Genomic DNA, 20,501 nt, shown 5'->3' with positions numbered 1-20,501 from the left:
GTTCACGTCCTCAGTCTGATATCCCTCACATCTCTCAATCCTCCTGCACTCCAGCACAATAGAGCTACCTTCATGACACTCTTCACCTCCCCCTGCCCACCACTTTACCCTCATTTTTGCTTGTCCTACCCGTTCTTTCAAGCCCTGCTCAAATTCCCAGAGTGACCACTCTGAATTAATCTTTCCCTCCATTATTTCCTCTTTGTACTTTATTGATCTCTTTTATTGCATTAATCAGAATTTTACTTGTATTATGGTTCCTTGTGTCTTTCTGTTCTTATATTGATTTTTAGCTACCCAAATCATATCTTCATTCATAATCTTTATGGAGTGGTTCTCAAACATTAGCACATATCACAATCATCTGAGGGTTCATTAAAACAGATTGCTGGACTCCATCCCTGGTGTTTCTAATTCAATACATCTGGGGTGGGGCACGAGAACTGGCATTTCTAATAAATCCCCAGGTGATGCTGCTGCCGCCCCAGTATGGCAACCACACTTCGAGCACCACTGCTTTTCAAAAATGGGAAACAATGAACTAACATAAATGAACTTGATATAGTACATAGGGAATGGAAGTTCACAGGTTAGGATTTAGAATCAGAGGCTTGGGTTTGAATTCCAGTTCTGCCACTTAATGCTTCAACAAGTTATTTAATCCCTCTGAATCTTCATTTTCTTGCCACAAAAATTGGGATATTATTACAGTAAGTCCTCAATGTCACCCATAGGTTCTTGGAAATCGTGAATTTAAGCAAAATGATGCATAAAAAAAAAATCTTACCATGGGCTAATTCACATACTCAAGAGTTAAGGGCCTAGGAAGTACTTCTGGTCACAAAAACATCAAACTTCTAAATAAAAACTAAAACACGGCCAGGCGTGGGGGCTCACACCTGTAATTCCAGCACTTTGGGAGGCCGCGGTGAGCAGATTGCCCAAGCTCAGTAGTCGAAGACCAGCCTAGGCAACACGGTGAAACCCTGTCTCTACTAAAATACAAAAAAAAAAAAAAAAAAAAAAAAAAAAATTAGCCAGGTGTGGCAGCGTGCGCCTGTAGTCCCAGCTACTCAGGAGGCTAAGGCAGGAGAATCACTTGAACCCAGGAGGCGGAGGTTGCAGTGAGCCGAGATTGTGCCATTGCACTCCAGCCTGGGTGACAGAGCGAGACTCCATCTCAAAAACAAAACAACAAAAAACAAAAAACCCTAAAACACTTCTAATATTAAACATTGAAATAAATGCAATTACACATATATTTAAGAAAGATTAATAAACACAAATAAGCTCATTATTTAAACGCTTTTTCCAATTCAGGGTTAGGAGTGATCAGAGCCCATCCCAGCAGCTCGGGACATAAGGTTGGAACCAGCCCTGGGCAGGATGTCATCCCATTGCAGGGGGCACCTATACCCACCCACGCTTACACTCCCTCACACTGGTGAGAGGTGAAGCCGGCTGGGCTTCTGGGTCGGGTGGGGACTTGGAGAGCTTTTCGGTCTAGCTAAAGGATTGTAAACACACCAATCAGCACTCTGTGTCTAGCTAAAGGTTTGTAAACAGCACCAATTAGCACTCTGTAAAAACGCACCAATCAGCGCTCTGTGTCTAGCTAAAGGTTTGTAAAGACACCAGTCAGCCCTCAGTAAAAATGGACCAATCAGCACTCTGTAAAATGGACAAATCAGCGCTCTGTAAAATGGACAACTCAGCAGGATGTGGGCGGGGCCAAATAAGGAAATAAAAGGTGGACACCCCGGCTAGCAGCAGCAACTTGCTTTGGGTCCGTTTCCACGCTTTGGTCTTTCTCTCTTGGCAGTAAATCTTGCTGCTCCTCACTTTTTGGGTTAGTACTACGTTTATGAGCTGTCACACTCACCGGGAAGGTCTACAGCTTCACTCCTGAAGCCAGTGAGACCGTTAACCCACCAGGAGGAACGGGCAACTCAGACCGCGCCACCTTTAAGAGCTGTAACACTCACCGCGAAGGTCTGCGGCTTCACTCCAGAAGTCAGCGAGACCACGAATCCTGCGGGAGGAACGAACTCCGACCGCGCCACCTTTAAGAGCTGTAACACTCACTGCGAAGGTCTGTGGCTTCACTCTTGAAGTCAGCAAGACCACGAACCCACCAGAAGGAAGAAACTCCGGACACATCTGAACATCTGAAGGAACTCGGGACACGCCATCTTTAAGAACTGTTAACACTCACTGCGGGGGTCTGCGGCTTCATTCCTGACGTCAGCGAGACCAAGAACCCACCGGAAGGAACCAGTTCCAGACATACTGGGACCGTGTGGATACGTCGGTAAACCTGACATGCACATCTTTAGGAGATAGCTGGAGAAAACCCATGCAGATTGTGGGTTTATCCCCAGCTGGGGATAGATTTTTTTTCCCCATCAATATTGTAAAGAAAACTGAATGAATTAGTTATTCAAGAACCAGCTGTACCTCTTACATAGGGTTGTCCCGAGGGCTATGAGAGATCATGTTTGTAAAGTGCCCAAGAAGCAGTGGCTACTATTATTACTAACTTGCTTTTTCTGTGCAGTAACTTTATAAGATAAATTTTGCCACAGTTTTATAGATGAAGAGACTGAGGCAAATGGAGGTCCCTTAATTTACCAGAAGTCTTCTACCTTAAGAAAGACAAGACTCGGATTCTAATTTAAGTCATTTTGATACATTCTACTCTCCCCACCACAGCATATTAAATGTAATGCACACTCAAAAATACTGGGTTTTTTTTTTGTTTTTTTTTTTTGAGACAGAGTTTCGCACTTTTTGCCCAGGCTGGAGTGCAATGGCGCGACCTTGGCTCCACCTCTTGGGTTCAAATGATTCTCCTGCCTCAGCCTTCTGAGTAGCTGGGATTACAGGCATGCATCAGCACGCCTGGCTAATTTTGTATTTTTAGTAGAGATGGGGTTTCTCCATGTTGCTCAGGCTGGTCTCGAACTCCTGACTTCAGGTGATCCTCCCACCTAGGCCTCCCAGAGTGTTGGGATTATAGGTGTGAGCCACTGCGCCTGGCCTGGATTTCTCTATTTGTTTATGCGAAATCGTCTACTGGCATTACCATCTCTCAAAACATTTTCCTGGACTTTTAACTAAAGATTTTTTCCATTGTAATGGGCACAAGTGCAATTTCCCTTTCATTTTAAGAGACTGTGAGAAGTAACAAATCAGGTAAGTAAAATTATTAAAGAAGGAACTAGCACTTAAAAAATATAATTTATAAAACCAAGTTGCCTAAGAGAAGCGTCAGCTTACAAGACTTTGTTACTTCATGGCATTAATAGTTTCAGGAACATTATAATACATAGTTTAATTTTCTTTGGTGTTTGTCGTGTTTGGGGGGTGGAGGTACTTTTTTCTTATAGATTTTATGATAATAACTTGGTTTTAATAGCACTTTTGAATTTGCTAGACACTAAAACAAAGACCATTTTATAAATTGAAAATTCACTTGTGTGAACACTAAATGCTGGGATTTGATTTCTTTGTTTCTATAGAAACAAAAGAAAGTTGAGATTAAAATAAGCTAAAATGGAATTACATTTTATGAAACAGTAAAGAAGCTTATTTTACTTGTTTCCATTGTAGTGTGGTGAAATAAAATTTTTATTTAAAACCCAAGCTGTCTGTGGGCCCTTCTGCCTTCTGAGAAAAAGTTCCCTTGGAACAGGGAGTGGCAAGATTTATATATTGAAAAAAAAAAAAAAGCCAGTCTGTTTGCTATTTCATTCCAATTTGAGAAATTGCTGGTGATGGTTTGGAGGGTATAGGGGAAGATGAAGAGTGTTTTCAATGTGAAAACTTAAGCCAGTGCTCTCTATATTGTTCAAATAGTGAGAGCAGGTTTAGCAGAGACAGTAATGTTAATGTCTTTGGGTCCGTAATAACAGCCCAGTAGGATAATAGGTCAAAGAACCGACATTCTCTGTGATAACAGGAAGGAAGGAGATCCAGACCATCCTGACTAACATGGCGAAACCCCGTCTCCACTAAAAATACAAAAATTAGCCTGGTGTGGTGGCATGCACCTGTAATCCCAGCTACTTGGGAGGCTGAGGCAGGAGAATCCTTTGAACCTGGGAGGCGGAGGTTGCAGTTAGCCGAGATTGTGCCATTGCACTCCAGCCTGGGCAACAAGAGCAAAACAGCATCTCAAAAAACAAAAAAACAGAAAAACAAAAAACAAATACAGAAACAAAAACCACTAGGCACGAAGACAGTTGCAAAGGTGAGGCCTGGAAAGAGGGTCTCATGAGTATTCGTGGATCCATTTGTTTCTGAGGCCCAATTGCTTTCTTGTAGTTGGATAACTATTTTGAGAATGAAGAAAAATTCTTTCCAATCCATTCCCATTTTGTCAATTTAGTTCAAGATAGGGTTGTTCCTATTTTGAGAGAATTGTTCTTCACTGTGCCACATGTAATCCTTTACCTGGAGTGCCTTCCCTCTCTTGACTTCTTACTGACTCCGTGATCCTGTGCAGGGAGGGCGCAGTGTGTATTCTCATGCTTGCATTTACATGGGCTCTGATTTTTTTCTTTTTTTCTACATATGTGGCATGGATAATTTGATAGAGAATCTAATATTTTTACAATAAGATAATACTGAATCTATCTTTAATCTGAATCTTTGCTCAATAAGAACATATGAGAGTTGCAAAAAAAAAATGTTAAAAAAGATGGAAGACCTAAATCCACCTTGAAGCATAAACAGTGGTGTTACTTTAAGAAAAGCACGTGGCAGCCCTAATAACGTCTGTAATAGTATAGAAAAGCACCTCCACGTCTCATTCTTTTAGACAATATGGTCCAGTGGGAAAAGTTTTGGCTCTAAAGAATACTATTCTCTAGCTTCGTGATATGTTCATTCCACTGTTCTTGATCTCAATCGGAGGTTCTGCATAATGGAATTCATAATTTTGTTCTATCAAACCTGCAAAACAGTACCAGCACCTATAGATAGCATGTTGTAGAAAATGGCAAGAATATGTATAAAAATGGAAATGGATCCTAACCATCTCACCTTACTTGCTCCTAGAGAAGTCCAACAGGTGAGTTGGAATAATTTATTTTTTCTTCCCCAGTCATACAGGACTAGTTACAATGGATGCACTTTTCTGTTTTGTCCAATAGTAAACAATCTGAAATGTAACTTAAAATACAGTTTTCCTATAAATTATAAAAAGTTCTGAGAAAAACTCATTTATCTAATGGTCACTGGATATCCAACACTGTGCTGTCAAGGGTTTCCTTAGCAAGAGGTGATCAAATCAGGAAGATAAACCAAGTAGAAGTGAAACCACTTTTGACCAAAACCTGTGTCTAACTGTATATAAGATGTTGATCAGGATGTGTTTGGCAGCCAATAGAAATGTTAATTCAGCTGGTTTAAATGATTAGGACTTTTATTATCTAATATAATAAAGTTTGGAGGTAGGACGGTAAGTATCTCTGAGTGTGGCTTCTTCAGCAGTTCAATGGCATAATCAAAAATTGAAGACTTTTTTTTCTGCTCTGTTATTCTCAAGGTGATGGTCTTGTTTTCCCAAGCTGCTACAGAGCTTCTGCAGCTCCAAGCATGACCACTATATTTGGCTGCTTAAAAGCATAACAAGGGCAGAAATCATAAAGGCTTTGCCCAGAGGGCCTTGATTGTCCTTGCCTTCTTGTCCTTTGGTGAGAACTTCATTGGTGGTGGCTCCAAAAATCAGGAGACTTTCTGTGATGAATTCACCATAAGAACGTGGGACCCAGCCTCCCTTGAAGGACGTAAGTACCCAATATCTGAAGAAAATTGAGGTTTTTTTTTTGTTTTTTGTTTGTTTGTTTGTTTTTTGAGACGGAGTCTTGCTCTGTCACCCAGGCTGGAGTGCAGTGGCGTGATCTCGGCTCACTGCAACCTCTGTCTCCCAAGTTCAAGCGATTCTCCAGTCTCAGCCTCCTGAGTAGCTGGGATTACAGGCATGTGCTACCACTCCCAGCTAATTTTTATTTTTAGTAGAGATGGGGGTTTCACCATGTTGGCCAGGCTGGTCTTGAACTCCTGATCTCAGGTGATCCACCCACCTCGGCCTCCCAAAGTGCTGGGATTACGGGTGTGAGCCACCATGCCCAGCCCCTCCTGGCTTTTGTATAATTGCGTTTGATTCAGCTATAGGGTCTTGTATGATATTGTTTATACAAGTCAGCTGCTTGGTTCCATTTTTCTTTTCTGTTCTCCATTTGGTTGGTTTTATAATGTACAAATTCACATCCAGAGTGTATATATTTTTTCATCTAGTAAATGGATAAACTTATTGTGAGATTTTATTAGACTTTTTTGAAACTTCCAAAAATTTTCAATTGCATTTACTGCTTAAAGGAATAATTTGAGATATAACTCAAATCAGGAAGTACTCTATTTAAGAGAGATTCATATTAAATATTTTTGGTAATGCTTCATAAGGGAAATGTAAAATTCTACTTGATTTAAATAGTATTTGTTACCTTTCAATTTTCTCAGCTGCACTTTCTCAGTTTACACTCTAATCTTTTACCTGGACAATTCCAGTTGCTTCCTAACTGTGCAATGTACACATCCTGTTGCTGACCATGGGAACTCTCTAAAGCACAAATATGATGCTCTCTTCCTGTTTGAACTTTCAATCGAGGTTACTTGCAAAATCAGCTTCATGGTTCTTGGTCTAATGCCTGAGACCCTGGCTGACCTTGCAACTACCTTCCTTTACAGCTTCAAAAGTTGCTACCTCAAAAAAACCCTCCAAGTTTTGGAAAAGTACTTTAAGGATTAACCTATTGTAGGCATGAGGAGTTGTCTGTGGTTCCCCAAACATCCCATGTTCTTTCAAGTTTCCATGCATTTGCACGTTCTGATACTACTGTCTGGATTATGATTTTCTACCTATCCTGCCTTATAGGAGAATTTATGTATTTCTCAAAATGCAAATGTTCTCTCCTCAATGAAGACGTGCTAAAACTCGTCTTTAGCCCATTTCCAAGTAGCCAGCAGTTAATACTTTTGTAACACTGTGCATGTATTTCTAGTACAGGATCTAGATCTGTACATTGCATGTACCTTTAATATAAACTCTAACCCCCACATTAGATGAGACTTCGTTGTCAGGGCCTAAGGCATGAGAAAGAGAACTGGTTAGCAGGCTGTCAGTAGGAGATAGAAAGCTAAGCAGGGTAGTTCTTCTTTGTGACTTTTGAAGACACTGGACAAGTAGATCTGATGAAGATAGACTTGGGTTCAAACCATGGATTGAGCATCATGCATTTCACTCACATTATCACTTTTACAAAATGCCCATATCATATGATGGGTATTTCACTCATATATCTCAGAAAAATCTATTCTATGGTTTGTGGAGGTAATAACTGTTTTAGAAGCAGAATTTTAATGCAAAATTGATAAATTCTTGTATGCAAATGGTAATATTTAAAGAATTTCCACCATTCTCCACACATTACTGGGACTGGATAATTATCTGAAAGGCAGATTCTGGTTTTGAAGGTCTAGACAACAGCATAGTAGACTTTCTTTTTAGTGCTTACTTTGATTATCATTGGCTATCTAACATTAATGTAAATAAGAAATATAAAAAATGAGAAAACATGTTTGTTTTATTTTAGGGGTAACTGAAAGTATCTTTTGAAAGGGCAGTTTAAATATTCCCAACCTTTATATTATTAAAATACACTGTGGTGTCTTTCTCTTTATACTCTGAGCTTGTTGGTAGCAAACCCATTTATCTTTATTGTCTTCCTAACCTATAGTATACTGGCTTGCATTTATTATCCTTCTGATATGAGTGTTTCTGGATCCCACAAAAACATAGGTTGAGGTAGTTTTGGGAGACAATTAAGCAAACGAAGCACACCTCTTCTGCTGGGCTGCAGTTGGATGATCCCAGCTCATGCATTTGGGGAGCTGGTGTAGTGATACAAATTTTAGAGCCAGAATGCAGGGTTTGAATTCCAGCTCCGTTACTTACCAGTATGTGCTACCAGGAAAGTCATGTAACCTCTTTTTGCCCTGATTTTGTCTACCATTAAGTAGGGATAATACCAATTACTATCTCTAAGAATCTTGAGAAGATTACATGTGTTAATACATGTAAGGTGCTTGGAACAATGTCTGACACATCATAAATATCATCGAAGTGTCAGCTCTCACTTTATTGGTTTCAAGTCTTCACAGTCAGCCTCCTTTGTCCTAAGGTCATGCTACATTTTGTATAAATGTTTCTTATGGGACAAAATGCTCCTGTCTGTTTAGGAGTGTGGGTGTGAGTGTTTAAAGACACTGATGACTTTTGCCCTATAATGGAAATTCTCTGCACCAAAAGAGCCAGAAGATTGCATTATACATTTATAAATTCACATCAAGTAAAAACAGAGAGGGAGATGGATCCCAAAGGACATATTATCAGAATCGGGCTCCAGATGGAGAATTTATGTGATTTGATATAAGTTTAAATACAGAGTTGTTTTACTCCAAAGCTTAAGAGGAAGGAATCGTTGTGGTCATTGCTAGTTATATTAATGGAAGGAGTCTTCCCCATTTTTAAAACTTAAGTGATGGTAACTATTGGCAGAATTTGTCATTCATCTCAACCAGGTTTCTAACTCTTACTCTTAAATTCCCTCTTTTAATATTTATTTTTTAAAGTTTTTATTATGCATAAAATCTATTTTTTAATAAGTTGAAAAGAATTGGAGTGGGAGGAAATCAGAGCTGTCATGAGAACTGGAGAAAATGGGTGTGGGGAGGGGAATCTGTAGAGCACAGGTGCCAGGTGTCCTGTGGATCTCGGCCACAGCCATCCGCCCATCAACTCTCCTGTATTGTTTCTGACTAATGGAGCAACCTATTCACTTTTTTTTAATCATATGAGAAAAAGGATGCATGGAAATTCCACAATCAGTGTCATTGAGGTCAGACGATAAGCAACTTTAAGTTTAATGAGAAACTTCTACATCAGAGGCTTTATTTAATTTGTTTTGTTATTTTGTCTTACTGTGGCTTCAGAATTTCACCCAGGAAATGTATGGAAGGTTTAACAATACCATGTTAAATCAGTAGATCTACATGATCTTTTCAGTGGAATAGAAGAAATATGATCAGGACTTGGTGGCCCTAAATTAACTTGTTTAAAAACAGGATTCTCAATTTGGTTATGAATTTTCTTACCTCCAGTGATGTGCTGGGAAGCGTTTAACAACTGACACTTTGGAATAAAGCCCTGATTTATGCTGTGGGCTTATTTCCTTTTGGTGATATTCCCACCATAGCCAATTTTGACCTACCAGTGTGATGATACCAAATGAAGAGTTAAAAGAGAGGTACACAGTGGGCTCTTGAGAGCCTGTTGAACATGGCAACTACACAACACAACTCTGTTTACATCTCAGAAAAGATTTGAGACAGGCCAACAAAAGAGATTGTCCTGAGAACTGGCATATAGAAAAAGCTCTATGGCTTGCATAGGCAATGATGAGGCACAGCATTCAAACAGGGAAGCTGGATCAATCAACATTGCCTGGCTGCACAGCATCAGATAGCCCAGCCAATATTCACTGTTGCACAATGCTTTTTTTTTTTTTTAAACTAAATTAGTGAAGTATACAGACATTCCTGTAGACATCCACCTGGATATGTCAAAGAAAATACCCAAAAACTGTGCCTCTTTTTTTTTTTTTTTTTTTTTGAGACAGTCTCTCTCTGTTGCCCACAGTCTCTCTCTGTTGCCCAGGCTGGAGTGCAGTGGCACGATCTTGGCTCACTGCAACCTCTGACTCCCGGTTCAAGCAATTCTCCTACCTCAGCCTCCCAAGTAGCTGGGATTACAGGTGCCCAACCACGCCCTGCTAATTTTTTGTGTTTTTAGTAGAGACGAGGTTTCACCATGTTGGCCAGGCTGGTTTTGAACTCCTGATCTCAAGTGATCCGCCCGCCTTGGCCTCCCAACCTGCTAAGATTACAGGCGTGAGCCACCGCACCTGGCAAAAACTGTGCTTTCTTATGGTATATTTTTTTCCCTTTCTTCTGAAACATTTTTAGATTGTTATCTCATTTTACTTCATTTTACATCAGAAGGTTTTCACATAGGAGTCCGTATTCTTAGGTTTTGTATGCTTTGGAGGATTTCACTCTCTATTCATTCCCTGTGAGGTCCTATATGATGCCTGTTTCCAAGGGAAGAAGTAAAGTCAAGAAACAAGATATCCTCAAGCTACTCTTAGGATCAGTGTCTGCATAGATCTGGCACACAGAAATGCAAGGAAACAATTTGTGCAAAGCATTAAAAAAAAAAGGGGGGACCCTGAGAGTATAACAAGTGCTCCTGAGAGAGGACAGACGGAGAGGACGCATGGGCAGGGATGGCCGCCCTGAGCAGCTGATGTTCGAGCTAAGATCTGAAAGGTGAGCTGGGGCCACAGACTTACTGAGTTGGGGGTGAAATGGGCCACCATCTGGGGCACAGGAGACAGCTCATGCCTAGCCGAAGGAACACAATGCATTCAAGCTGCTGAAGGAGTGCCAAGCTGGAGCTCAGGGGAGCCTCCTACAGGATGAGATGGGATGGGGTGTGTGGGGGGCAAGACCTAGGGGATGAGATTTTGTGCTTTGGTCCTTGGATGGGAAATGGGGAGGCAGAAGAATGGGTGGTGAGATGAAGTTTTATCACCAAGGGAGAGGGAAATATTCATGAGGTGTTTACATTAGGGATTTTTATTAAATATAGCAAGTGGTATTGATCTGGAACTCGGTGATCTGGAGCCGAGAAAAGGAGACTTGCCCCATATCTGGGCAGCATGCAGAGTGACCAAACAGCCACATAATCATGACTTAAAGAGTGACATATCTCAAGGGTTTGACAAGTCTGGGAAGCCCTGGAGGGGAACCCCCAGAGAGGGAGGAGTCCTGCTTTTGAGGGGCAGGGGTGTTTGCCATACGGTGAATTGTCTCCTGCGAGTGACTTTTAGGCAGCTGGCTGTCACGCACAGTTGTGTAGTTTGCATACTTGGCAAAGGTACTCAACACGGGGCAGTGGGAGCTTCCATCCAGCCCTCTCTGAGCTCTTCAAATCTGCACCATGGCAAGGGACACAGAGATGGGTTCTTTTTGACATGCTCACTGAGGCTTTAAGCCAGCGAGACACTAGAGACCCTATTCAGGAATAACTTGGGGAGAGGGGCATTTGTTAAGGGGGTACAGGGTGGGAAGAAGTTATGAGGTTCTTTGCCAGCTAAGAAGAGGGTTTGATCCTGAAAAGACTAAAGTTAATATATTTTATTTATGCCTAACATTGGTTGGGCAGGAATTGCTTAATTATATACTGCATATGTGTATATATCCACCCAAGCATGCGTATGAGTATTGTGAGTGTACATATACATACATGCATATGTAATGGCAATGTAATGCTTCTTAAATATATTAATGTCATTCCTTTTCTCACTTTTCAGGTGCATGATTTCCCACTTACCTCCCGCAACCACTACCACCCACGTTGTCCACAGTATTCAGCTGTCTCAGGGAGGATCACAATTATTCTAATGGGACTGCAAAGAGTGAAGGACACAGCTTTTAACATCAGGTAGAGAATTTTGTTGAGTCTTTAGTAGGTCAGCCTTTGGAAAATACTTCTCTAAATTTCTATACATTCGGGCTAACTCATTAGAGGTCAGGCCTGGAAGATGAGATCATCTGTTTCTTCAAGAGGAGGACCTCTGCTTCTGTCAAAACAGCTGAGTCAACAGGGCGTGGTGTCTCATGCCTGCAATCCCAGCACTTTGGGAGGCTGAGATGGGAGGGTCACTTGAGCTCAGGAGTTTGAGACCAGCATGGGCAACATAGTGAGACTTTGTCTCTACCCCAAATTTTAAAAATTATCTGGGTTTATTCGTGTGTACCTGTAGTCGCAGTTACCTGGGAGGCAAGGTGGGAGGCAAGGCGGAAGATTGCCTGGGCCAGGGAAATGGAGGCTGCAGTGAGCCATGATCACACGTCTGCACTCCAGCCCGGGTGAGCATGAGACCTTGTTCCCCCCAACAAAAAAAAAAAAAAAAAAAAGAAAGAAAAGAAAAGCTGAGCCAGGAGACTCAAGAATGAGATAGCATCTCTACAAGTCAGAAAGACAAAAAGGAAACTCCACTTCAACTCAGGTAGAATGTGGGAGAGAGAAAGGAGACAGATGTGGCAGGATTAGGCTTGATGCCGAGCGACTGGAAGTCTAAGCAGTGGTTGAAACAGGATAGAATGTGTTTCTCTCCTTTCTGGCTGCCTGGGGAAGGCAGTTCAAGGCTGGGATGGCACTCTTCAGTGTAAGAGACTCAAGCTTCACCTTTTTTATTTTTTACTCTGCCGTGATCCTTATTCCTTATCATGGTGCAAGATGGCTGCTGTAGCTCTGTCCACCTCATCTGCATCTCACCCAGTAAAAAAAAAAAAAAAGTAAAGAAGGCCACACTTCCACATTTGATCACGTTGCTAATATCCCTTAGCAGAGGTCAGTCATTTGACCACCCAGAGGCAAAGGAAGGTGGAGAATATAATTGTTATTCAGAGAAGCCATATGGAGAGCTAAAATTCTGGGGTCCTTATAGCTAGAGGAAAAAATGAGGGAACCAGTGAGGACAAATGAAGGAAGCATTACTGGGAGAAAAGAGTAGGGTGAACAGATGTGGAGGTGTGTTAGAAATGACCAGATAGATTTAGGGGAGTCAAGGACATGAGGCCTTGCCTATTCCCATGGAACAGTCTGGGAAACCACTGTGACAGGCCCTGTTGGCGCTGCAGCCACACGATGGCATCTGGCCTGATGGATGTGCTTGAGGCTGTACTACTTCTGTGCTCAGCACAAGGTCTCAGCGGTTCCTACAGTCCTCCATGATGAGGTGTGTTGGGTTGAGGCCATGCACTAGCAGAGGGCCAGCATGAGAGTCAAGATGCAGTGGCAGCTGGGACCTCTGAGACTAGAAGCCTGACATGTCAGCAGGTGAGACAGGACCTCCTGCCTGTGTGGGCACCAGCCAGACCAGCCAACCTTCATTAGACACCAGATGTACCCAGAGTCCCCTGTGACTCTGATCCCTGCTCTTCCTGCTGTCGCAAAGACACAGAGAGCTTCTTCGTAGACAGGCACCATCTTGGGGAGGAGCAGGGAGTAACTTTTTTTTTCTCTTCCCATACATAGGCGGAGCTAAATGGGGGATGGAAGGTTCTTGAGAAGATTTAGCTAAAGAAGCTAATTGTTAAGTTAGGCATCTGAGTATAATGTGAGTGCATTTTCTATCCTATAAATGTACATAGAATTAAACTTGTAATGCTAAATCATTTACTTTTGAGTTCATCCTCATAAGAGTGCAAAATGAACAAAAATTAAAATTGAGATTGCAGATTTTGATTTAGGGTAGACCTGTGGCATTTAGTGTTATATCAGGCCAAAGACATCACTCCAAGATAATACTATTTACACAGAAGATCTCCTTAGCTAGAGATGTTTTTTTAAAAACTGAAACTAGTAAAGAGAAAGTTGATTTGTCAAGAGAGTTGACTCCCACAAATCGGGTGTTTTCCAGTTATTCAGGCATGCAACATTCACACAGATGCTCTCAGATCCTCTTACGAAGTACTGGATTAAAAAAGTATGAGATGAGACATCAGATATTTCAGTGACAAAACCATCCCTCTTGATCAACCAAAATATTCAAATGCACTTCAGATATGCTGGTTTCTGAAGCGACCTGAAGAACTTGTTTTCCCTTACCTCTAAGTTAAACCCAGACACAGTGACTCCAGACCGAGAACAATTGTATGGGGATATTGTATTGCTATTGCCTGCAATTTAGATAAAACAAAGGTGCACAAGGCATGCACCCACGTGTACACACACACACACACACACACCTGCCCCCCCACCACACACACACTGTGAGGTACTATATCAATGCCTGCATACTCCACAAATCTAGTCCAGCAACTTGCTTAAGCTTTTCATTGGAACAAAGTGATAGTCTTCTCTCCTAAAACAGAGTATCTTAAAAAAAAAAAAAAAGTTAATTTAGCAAAAAGTAGTGCCCAACTTTTTCAGGGACCCGTGGAATTCAGGCTGTCTAGCTGACACCTCTGCAGTACTTTAAATATTTAAAGCAATTGCCTCTGAAATATGGATTACCATGTAGGGAAATGTACAAGGGAAGATTGCTTTCTCCAGTTTTGTTTGCTCCTTTTGATGTAAAATGTTGTGGGAAAAAAAAGAGCTGTGACCCTTAATTAGATAAGGATTTATCTACATTGCTTTTCTTTTTGTGCCTGACCCCACTAGTCGGGCTAGTTGATCTGTATTGCCTAGTGTTGACACGAATGAGCAGCGTGAACCTTATACAGTTGTAAACACCTCTACAATGTGGCCTTCCTTACATGGTCCGCGAGGAGGCCTTGACAGAATGACACCCGTCATCTGATAAGCTGGGGTCAGGAGTCACTTGAAGAGTCGCTTTTTCTTTGAATTTCTAAAAGCCAAAAACTTTTAATGTTTTTAATAAGTAAATTACCTAAACATGTACAGTCCTTTTGCACATATTAACTCATCAGAGGCCCACGTGAGTCAGGGAGGGCTCCCTAAACAGTCAGGGGCTGTTCACCTGGTGTGTTGTAACTGCAAGACCACGTTTTGGTGAGAATCTGAGATGTATTTTGGAGAGCTTATATGACACAGTGGTCACATGATCCTTAAGGAGCCAGAGGGCATGACTTTAAGTAAATGGCTGGATGTTTTTTTCCAGTGTTGGCGATGCCTGTACTCAAAGGCAGAAACTCATCAGTAGGACTTCGATGAAGGAAGAATATTTTTCTTAAAGCAAGATATGTTTTAGTGATATAATTAGCCTTTTAGTTTATTCTCCCATGTATATATATCTACACACACATACACATACATATATAATGCCTGTTTTATAGTGTCTTGGAGATTTAGGTGATCAGGTTTTCTTCATGCCAGTATTTGGAATTCAGTGAGATCAGGTGGCTAGGCAAAAGAAGAGTAAATTATAACAAGAGCTTCCTTTATAGTCACCATGAAGAAGATGACTTATTCTCTGAGTCATAAAGTCATAAACCAGAATGCCTTGGTAAAGAAAAATTTTAATTGATACTGATACATGTTTATTCTCTTCCAGGTCTATCTTATTTACTGAGGATGGGATAGGGGATAGTGTGTGTAACAAATGTGTCAATCCTTTTGATAAGGTGCTGTGGGAACACAGAGGGACTGGTGTCCCTGGGATGTAGGAGATTTTCCTGTGTTGGCCTCCTGCCATCTCTCCTTGTGCTTCAATCAGTGTATGAGAGTAGGTGGCAGAAGCACCAGCTTGGACATTTCTAGGGCTTTTAAGAATATTTACAACCTTAAAATTTTGTGCTCAAAATAGGTCACTGAGAGCCTGTAATCCTGCAAGATTTCAGAGCTGTTCCTTGCACTTTCCGTAGCAATTCTTTCATCAATCTGATCACGTTCTTAATTCCAAATTTGGTGTTGCAGGTAGTCAAAATACTAGTGAGGACTCTGTTAATGCAACTCAAAAGCCAGGTTTCTCGTTCCAATCACAGATTCGAATCCTACAATTTGGAACCCATGGGCACTTCTAGATTGGATCTTGCAGAGATTTTTTACAACAGAAATAATGGAAAGGCAAAAGAAAACATTGAGTAATAACCAACCCAAGCAAGTCCAGCCTCTTTCTGCAGAAGGCAAGTAGTTCTAAATGAATTGAATATTTGGCAATTTTTTTCCATCCACACTGTTTGACTCCATTCTGGGCCAAAATGATCTGTGACTAAACACAGGCAAAAACAAAGTTTATTTTTAATCTGTCTAGCAATGAGGGTATTGGCTCATCATCCAGAGGAGATGTGAATTCTTATCCTTTATCTAATCTTGAACACTCTCTCTCATACTGGGGAGTGGTGACGGCGCAATTTCTAGCACTGATTTCCTATTGAAACCGTGGTTTCCTTCATTGTTTATCAAATTCTCTCCCGTCTTACCCTCAACTCCAACCAACCCGGAGTTTTTCGTCAAAGCCACTCTACTTGACATACATATGAGCTTGACAATAAAATTCCTTGGATATACATTGTGGAAGACGGGTGCATTTTCCATATTTTACATCATATTCTTGTTTTTGGATCACCAAAATATGATGTGTTATAATTTAGAAATTCATTTCCATAAATAATTTAACTATAGCTCTAGACTCATGAAACTTGGATATAGGCCAGACAAGCGGCTCATGCTTATAATCCTAGCACTTTGGGAGTCTGAGGCCGCCCGGGAGGTCAAGACTGCAGTGAGCCAAGATCACAGCACTGTACTTCAGTCTGGGTAACAAAGCGAGACCCTGTCTCAAAGGAAAAAAAAAAAAAAAGGAACTTGGGTATAATTTAAGATGGAGCGACAAATATGGGGTTTTACCTGGAGTCTCCTACACCATGTGACCTTTCAAATTTGGCCTTGCACAAATCATACTGGAAAGGTATGTTTCAGAACTTTTTCCCTAGTCTTACTCATCAAATATATTTTCCCCACAGGAATATCTAGTGCCATCAAAGTGGATAATTAACATTCAAGGTGCTAAGACCATGTCTACATGATGAAAAGTGTTTTGTAAAAGAATAAATGAGTGCATTACTAATGAAAGATTTTTTTTTCCTTTACAAAAAGTCACTGAATTATGCTATCCAGGCAGCCCACTGTCTGATGCATTGATAAATGGAGGAAAAGACAATCACATTAAGAACATCAGAACATCATTTGCAATTCTTAAAGTCGGTATTCAGAATCAACAAGCAGGGAACTTTCTCTTAAAATTAGAGGTAATAACCCACCCAATTGAGTGGCAGCAATGTGGTCAATTGAAGACAGAAAAACAAGACCTATTTTCCACATTACGAACCTTTAGTCCAAGGAAGTGTTTTTCAAATGATGTTGGCTGAGACCCCGAGTAATAAATATATTTTACATTGCAACACAAATGCAAATGAGTGTTGAAACATCCATATATAATTGAAACAAAAGTTTCCAAAGTAATGCTACTCTACTGTCTGCGATGCACACGTATTTTCTATTGTATTCTATTTCACTTTAAAAATAAATGCTAGTTGCAAACCATAAAATTTATACCCCTAATGGGGGGGCTGTGGTCCACAGTTTGCAAAAACAGTTATTTAGCAATTATAGTCATCTATACTTTTGAAAAATGTAGCAGATGCACTAAGAAACTTCCACAAAAATATGTATTCATAAGCTGAGTGAACTAAAGACCTCTTTAAGGATACAGTGTGACATATGATAGGGGCTCAATATAAATTTGAAGAAATAATTAAAAGAACATAGTAGAACAGGCCAGGCGTGGTGGCTCATGCTTGCAATCCCAGCATTTTGGAAGGCTGAGGAAGGTGGATCATCTGAGGTCAGGAGTTCAACGTAGCCTGGCCAACATGCTGAAACCCGATCTCCACTAAAAATATGAAAATTAGCCGGGCGTGGTGGCGCATGCTGGTAATCCCAGCTACTCGGGAAGCTGAGGCTGGGGAATCGCTTGATCATGGAAAGGCGGAGGTTGCAGTGAGCAGAGATTGTGCCACTGCATTCCAACCTGAATGGCAGAGCGAGACGCCGTTTCAAACAGCAACAGCGACAACAACAACAACATAGTAGAAAAGAAGAAAAGAAGGAAAGAAGAAGATACTGTGGAGAAGCCATAACTGCAAGTGAGCAGATAAGGCAACTGAAATGAGCCTCAAGCAACTTAGAGGTGGCCTAGTTTTGGCAAAGATTTTAGGCTGTTTATAAAGCAAAATAACAACTGGTATGACTTTAAGTGCTAAATATTTTTGTAAAAAAATATAGTGAGGCCAGCACAGTGGCTCACACCTGTAATCCCAGCACTTTGGGAGGCCAAGGAGGGCGGATTATCTGAGGTCAGGAGTTCAAGTAGTCTGGCCAACATGGTGAAACCCGTCTCTACTAAAAATACAAAAATTAGCAGGGCGTGGTGGCCCATGCCTGTAATCCCAGCTACTCGGGAGGCTGAGGCAGGAGAATTGCTTGAGCCCGGGAGGCAGAGGTTGCAGTGAGCTGAGATCGTGCCACTGCACTCCAGCCTGGCTGACAGAGCAAGACTCTGTCTCAAAAAAAAAAAAAAAAAAAAAATAGAAATAGTGACCAGTTGAGGAAAGTTTAAAGCCTTTTGTGATGAATGGATATGGCTTTGAATCCCAGATTTTCCAGTGACCAGCTTTGTCAATGTGGAAGCTTTTTCCACCACATCTTGTGTGGTCTTTAATATTGGGGTGATGATATCTAGCTAACCAGGTTATGATGAGACTTTATAATAATAACACATAGAAGGAACATGATAGGGCCTAATAGGTAGCAAACGCTCAAGAAATAAGAAATCTTATTTTGTGTGTTAGATGTTGGTTGTTTTTTTTGTTTTACCCAACTCTGACTTTAGCTTTCTTTTATGCTGAATGAATCTGCCTTTCAAAATGTTGCATCAGACACTAACATACCTTCTCTGCCCAAATTGTTAACTAGCAGATAATCAGGATGACTCCACCTTTGTACCTGACTGAGGAACTTAGTGAACCCTGAAGAAATGATGATTAAAGAGACAATGAAGAGGCCAGGCGCAGTGGCTCATGCCTGTAATCCCAGCACTTTGGGAGGCCGAGGTAGGCGGATCATGAGGTCAGGAAATCGAGACCATCCTGGCTAACATGGTGAAACTCTATCTCTACTAAAAATACAAAAAATAAGCTGGGTGTGGTGGCACGTGCCTGTAATCCCAGCTACTCAGGAAGCTGAGACAGGAGAATCGCTTGAACCCAGGAGGTGGAGGTTGCAGTGAGCCGAAGTCGTGCCGTTGCACTCCAGTCCGGGTGACAGAGTGAGACTCTGTCTCAAAAAAAAAAAAAAAAAAAAAGGACAATGAAGACAGGAGACATTGGGCTGTGCCCTTCTAGATATGACAGGGAGCAAATAAGCCAACTCCAGGTCAGTATAAAATCCTAGGTGATCATTAAAATCACTTAAATAAGCCAACTCCAGGTCAGCATAAAATCCTAGGCGATCATTAAAATCACTTAAAATTAAAATCCTAGGTGATCATTAAAACCACTTCAAAAAGACATGTTTTGGGAGCTATGTGTTCAGGGAAACAGAGGAGAAAACAACTGGGACTCTATGAGGTGCCAGGTTTGAAGCTGTATGGATGTGACTGATGTCAGGTTTTCATGAGCCCAGTGGAAAATTTAGAGGCAGTAAACTGGGCAACTGGGGCTGTTGGTGCTTGAGTAATGCTTGGGCATCAAGATCTCCAAACTGTGTGGCCGCACCTGTGGTCCTAGCTACTCAGGAGGCTGAGGTGGGAGGATAGTTGGAGCCTGGGAGATTGAGGCTGCAGTGAGCTGTGATGGTGCCACTGTACTCTAGCCTGGGTGACAGAGCGAGACTTGTCTCAAAAAAAAAAAAATCTCCAAACTGGACTCTCTCTCACTAGGGATTTGTCTCTTTCTCCTCTCCTTCTCTTCCTTCCTAATTATCTCCTTTTCTTTATTCACAATATATATATCCTCAACTATGGATAAGTGTGCTTATACTCAGCTATATTTTCTTTTTTTCCAGCTATATTGATGTATAATTGACAAATAAAAATTAGATATTGTTAAGGTGTACAACATAGTGCTTGACAGATATATACATTGTGAAATAATTACCACAACCAAGCAAGCTAGTTAACATATCCATCACCTCATGTAGTTACTTTTTTGGGTTTTTTTTTTTTTGGTGTGGTGAGAACACTGAAAATCAACTCTCTTAGCAAATTTTGAGTATTCAATGAAGTATACTTGAATAACACTGTATACAAATTCAAGTATAAATTCAAGTATACAATGCTATTAGCTATAGTCATCCTGCTATATATTAGTTCTCCAGAACCTACTCATCATATAAGTTAACGTTTGTACCCTTTGCCCAAGACCGCCCCACTTCCTCCTCCCACCAGCTGCTGGTAACAACCATTCTACTCTCTGTTTCTATGAGTTTGACTTTTTTAGGTTTTGCATAGAAGTGACATCATGCAGTATTTATCTTTCTGTGTCTGGCTTGTTTCATTTAGCATAACGTCTTGCAGGTTCATTCATGTTGTCGCAAATGGCAGGATTTCCTTATTTTTAAAGGCTGAATATTCCATTGTGTGTGAAAATATATGATATCAACTGTATTTTCATATATGTGTCTAACTGGATGGCCTCTTAATAAACTTTAAAGGATTAAAGATTGTCATTAGAGAATTCTAAATAAGGTGGTTTTAGGTTCATATTATACAATACATGTAATGTGCATGCATTATGTCGACTCTTATTAAATTCTAAGTCCTACTCAATAGTGTTGAGAGCAT

The 20,501-nt window shown here is 40.9% G+C and overlaps 3 long non-coding RNA genes across 3 annotated transcripts in view, besides 1 other annotated feature; 2 read left to right on the top strand and 1 right to left on the bottom strand.

Annotated features, from left to right (window-relative positions):
• Window positions 1–10,254, top strand: part of NR2F2-AS1 (NR2F2 antisense RNA 1) — a 200,002-nt gene extending 189,748 nt beyond the window's left edge. Inside the window, exons 4-5 of the long non-coding RNA NR_125738.1 lie at window positions 5,552–5,792; window positions 10,201–10,254. This is a non-coding gene — a long non-coding RNA (NR2F2 antisense RNA 1). The remainder of the gene's footprint in view (window positions 1–5,551; window positions 5,793–10,200) is intronic.
• The window catches only part of LOC112268156 (uncharacterized), a 236,909-nt gene that overhangs the window by 89,730 nt on the left and 126,678 nt on the right, over window positions 1–20,501 (bottom strand). The gene's annotated exons all lie outside the window — the stretch shown is intronic.
• Window positions 1,563–2,762: an enhancer, noted in NCBI's record as "BRD4-independent group 4 enhancer chr15:96678081-96679280 (GRCh37/hg19 assembly coordinates)". NCBI's record gives its function as "activates an origin of replication core promoter dependent on BRD2, P300/CBP, MED14 and CDK7 cofactors, and independent of BRD4, by STARR-seq in HCT116 cells {active_cell/tissue: HCT116}" and the evidence as "EXISTENCE:reporter gene assay evidence [ECO:0000049][PMID:35650434]".
• LOC105369212 (uncharacterized) overlaps window positions 9,773–20,501 on the top strand; it is a 45,790-nt gene continuing 35,061 nt past the window's right edge. The window contains exons 1-4 of the long non-coding RNA NR_158193.1: window positions 9,773–10,452; window positions 11,499–11,629; window positions 15,643–15,783; window positions 18,638–18,771. This is a non-coding gene — a long non-coding RNA (uncharacterized LOC105369212). The remainder of the gene's footprint in view (window positions 10,453–11,498; window positions 11,630–15,642; window positions 15,784–18,637; window positions 18,772–20,501) is intronic.

This window comes from Homo sapiens, chromosome 15 (genome assembly GCF_000001405.40).
Source record: "Homo sapiens chromosome 15, GRCh38.p14 Primary Assembly".
Lineage (NCBI taxonomy): Eukaryota > Metazoa > Chordata > Mammalia > Primates > Hominidae > Homo > Homo sapiens.
Note: the sequence above shows the minus strand (reverse complement) of the source record. Positions and strands in the feature narration are given on the sequence as shown.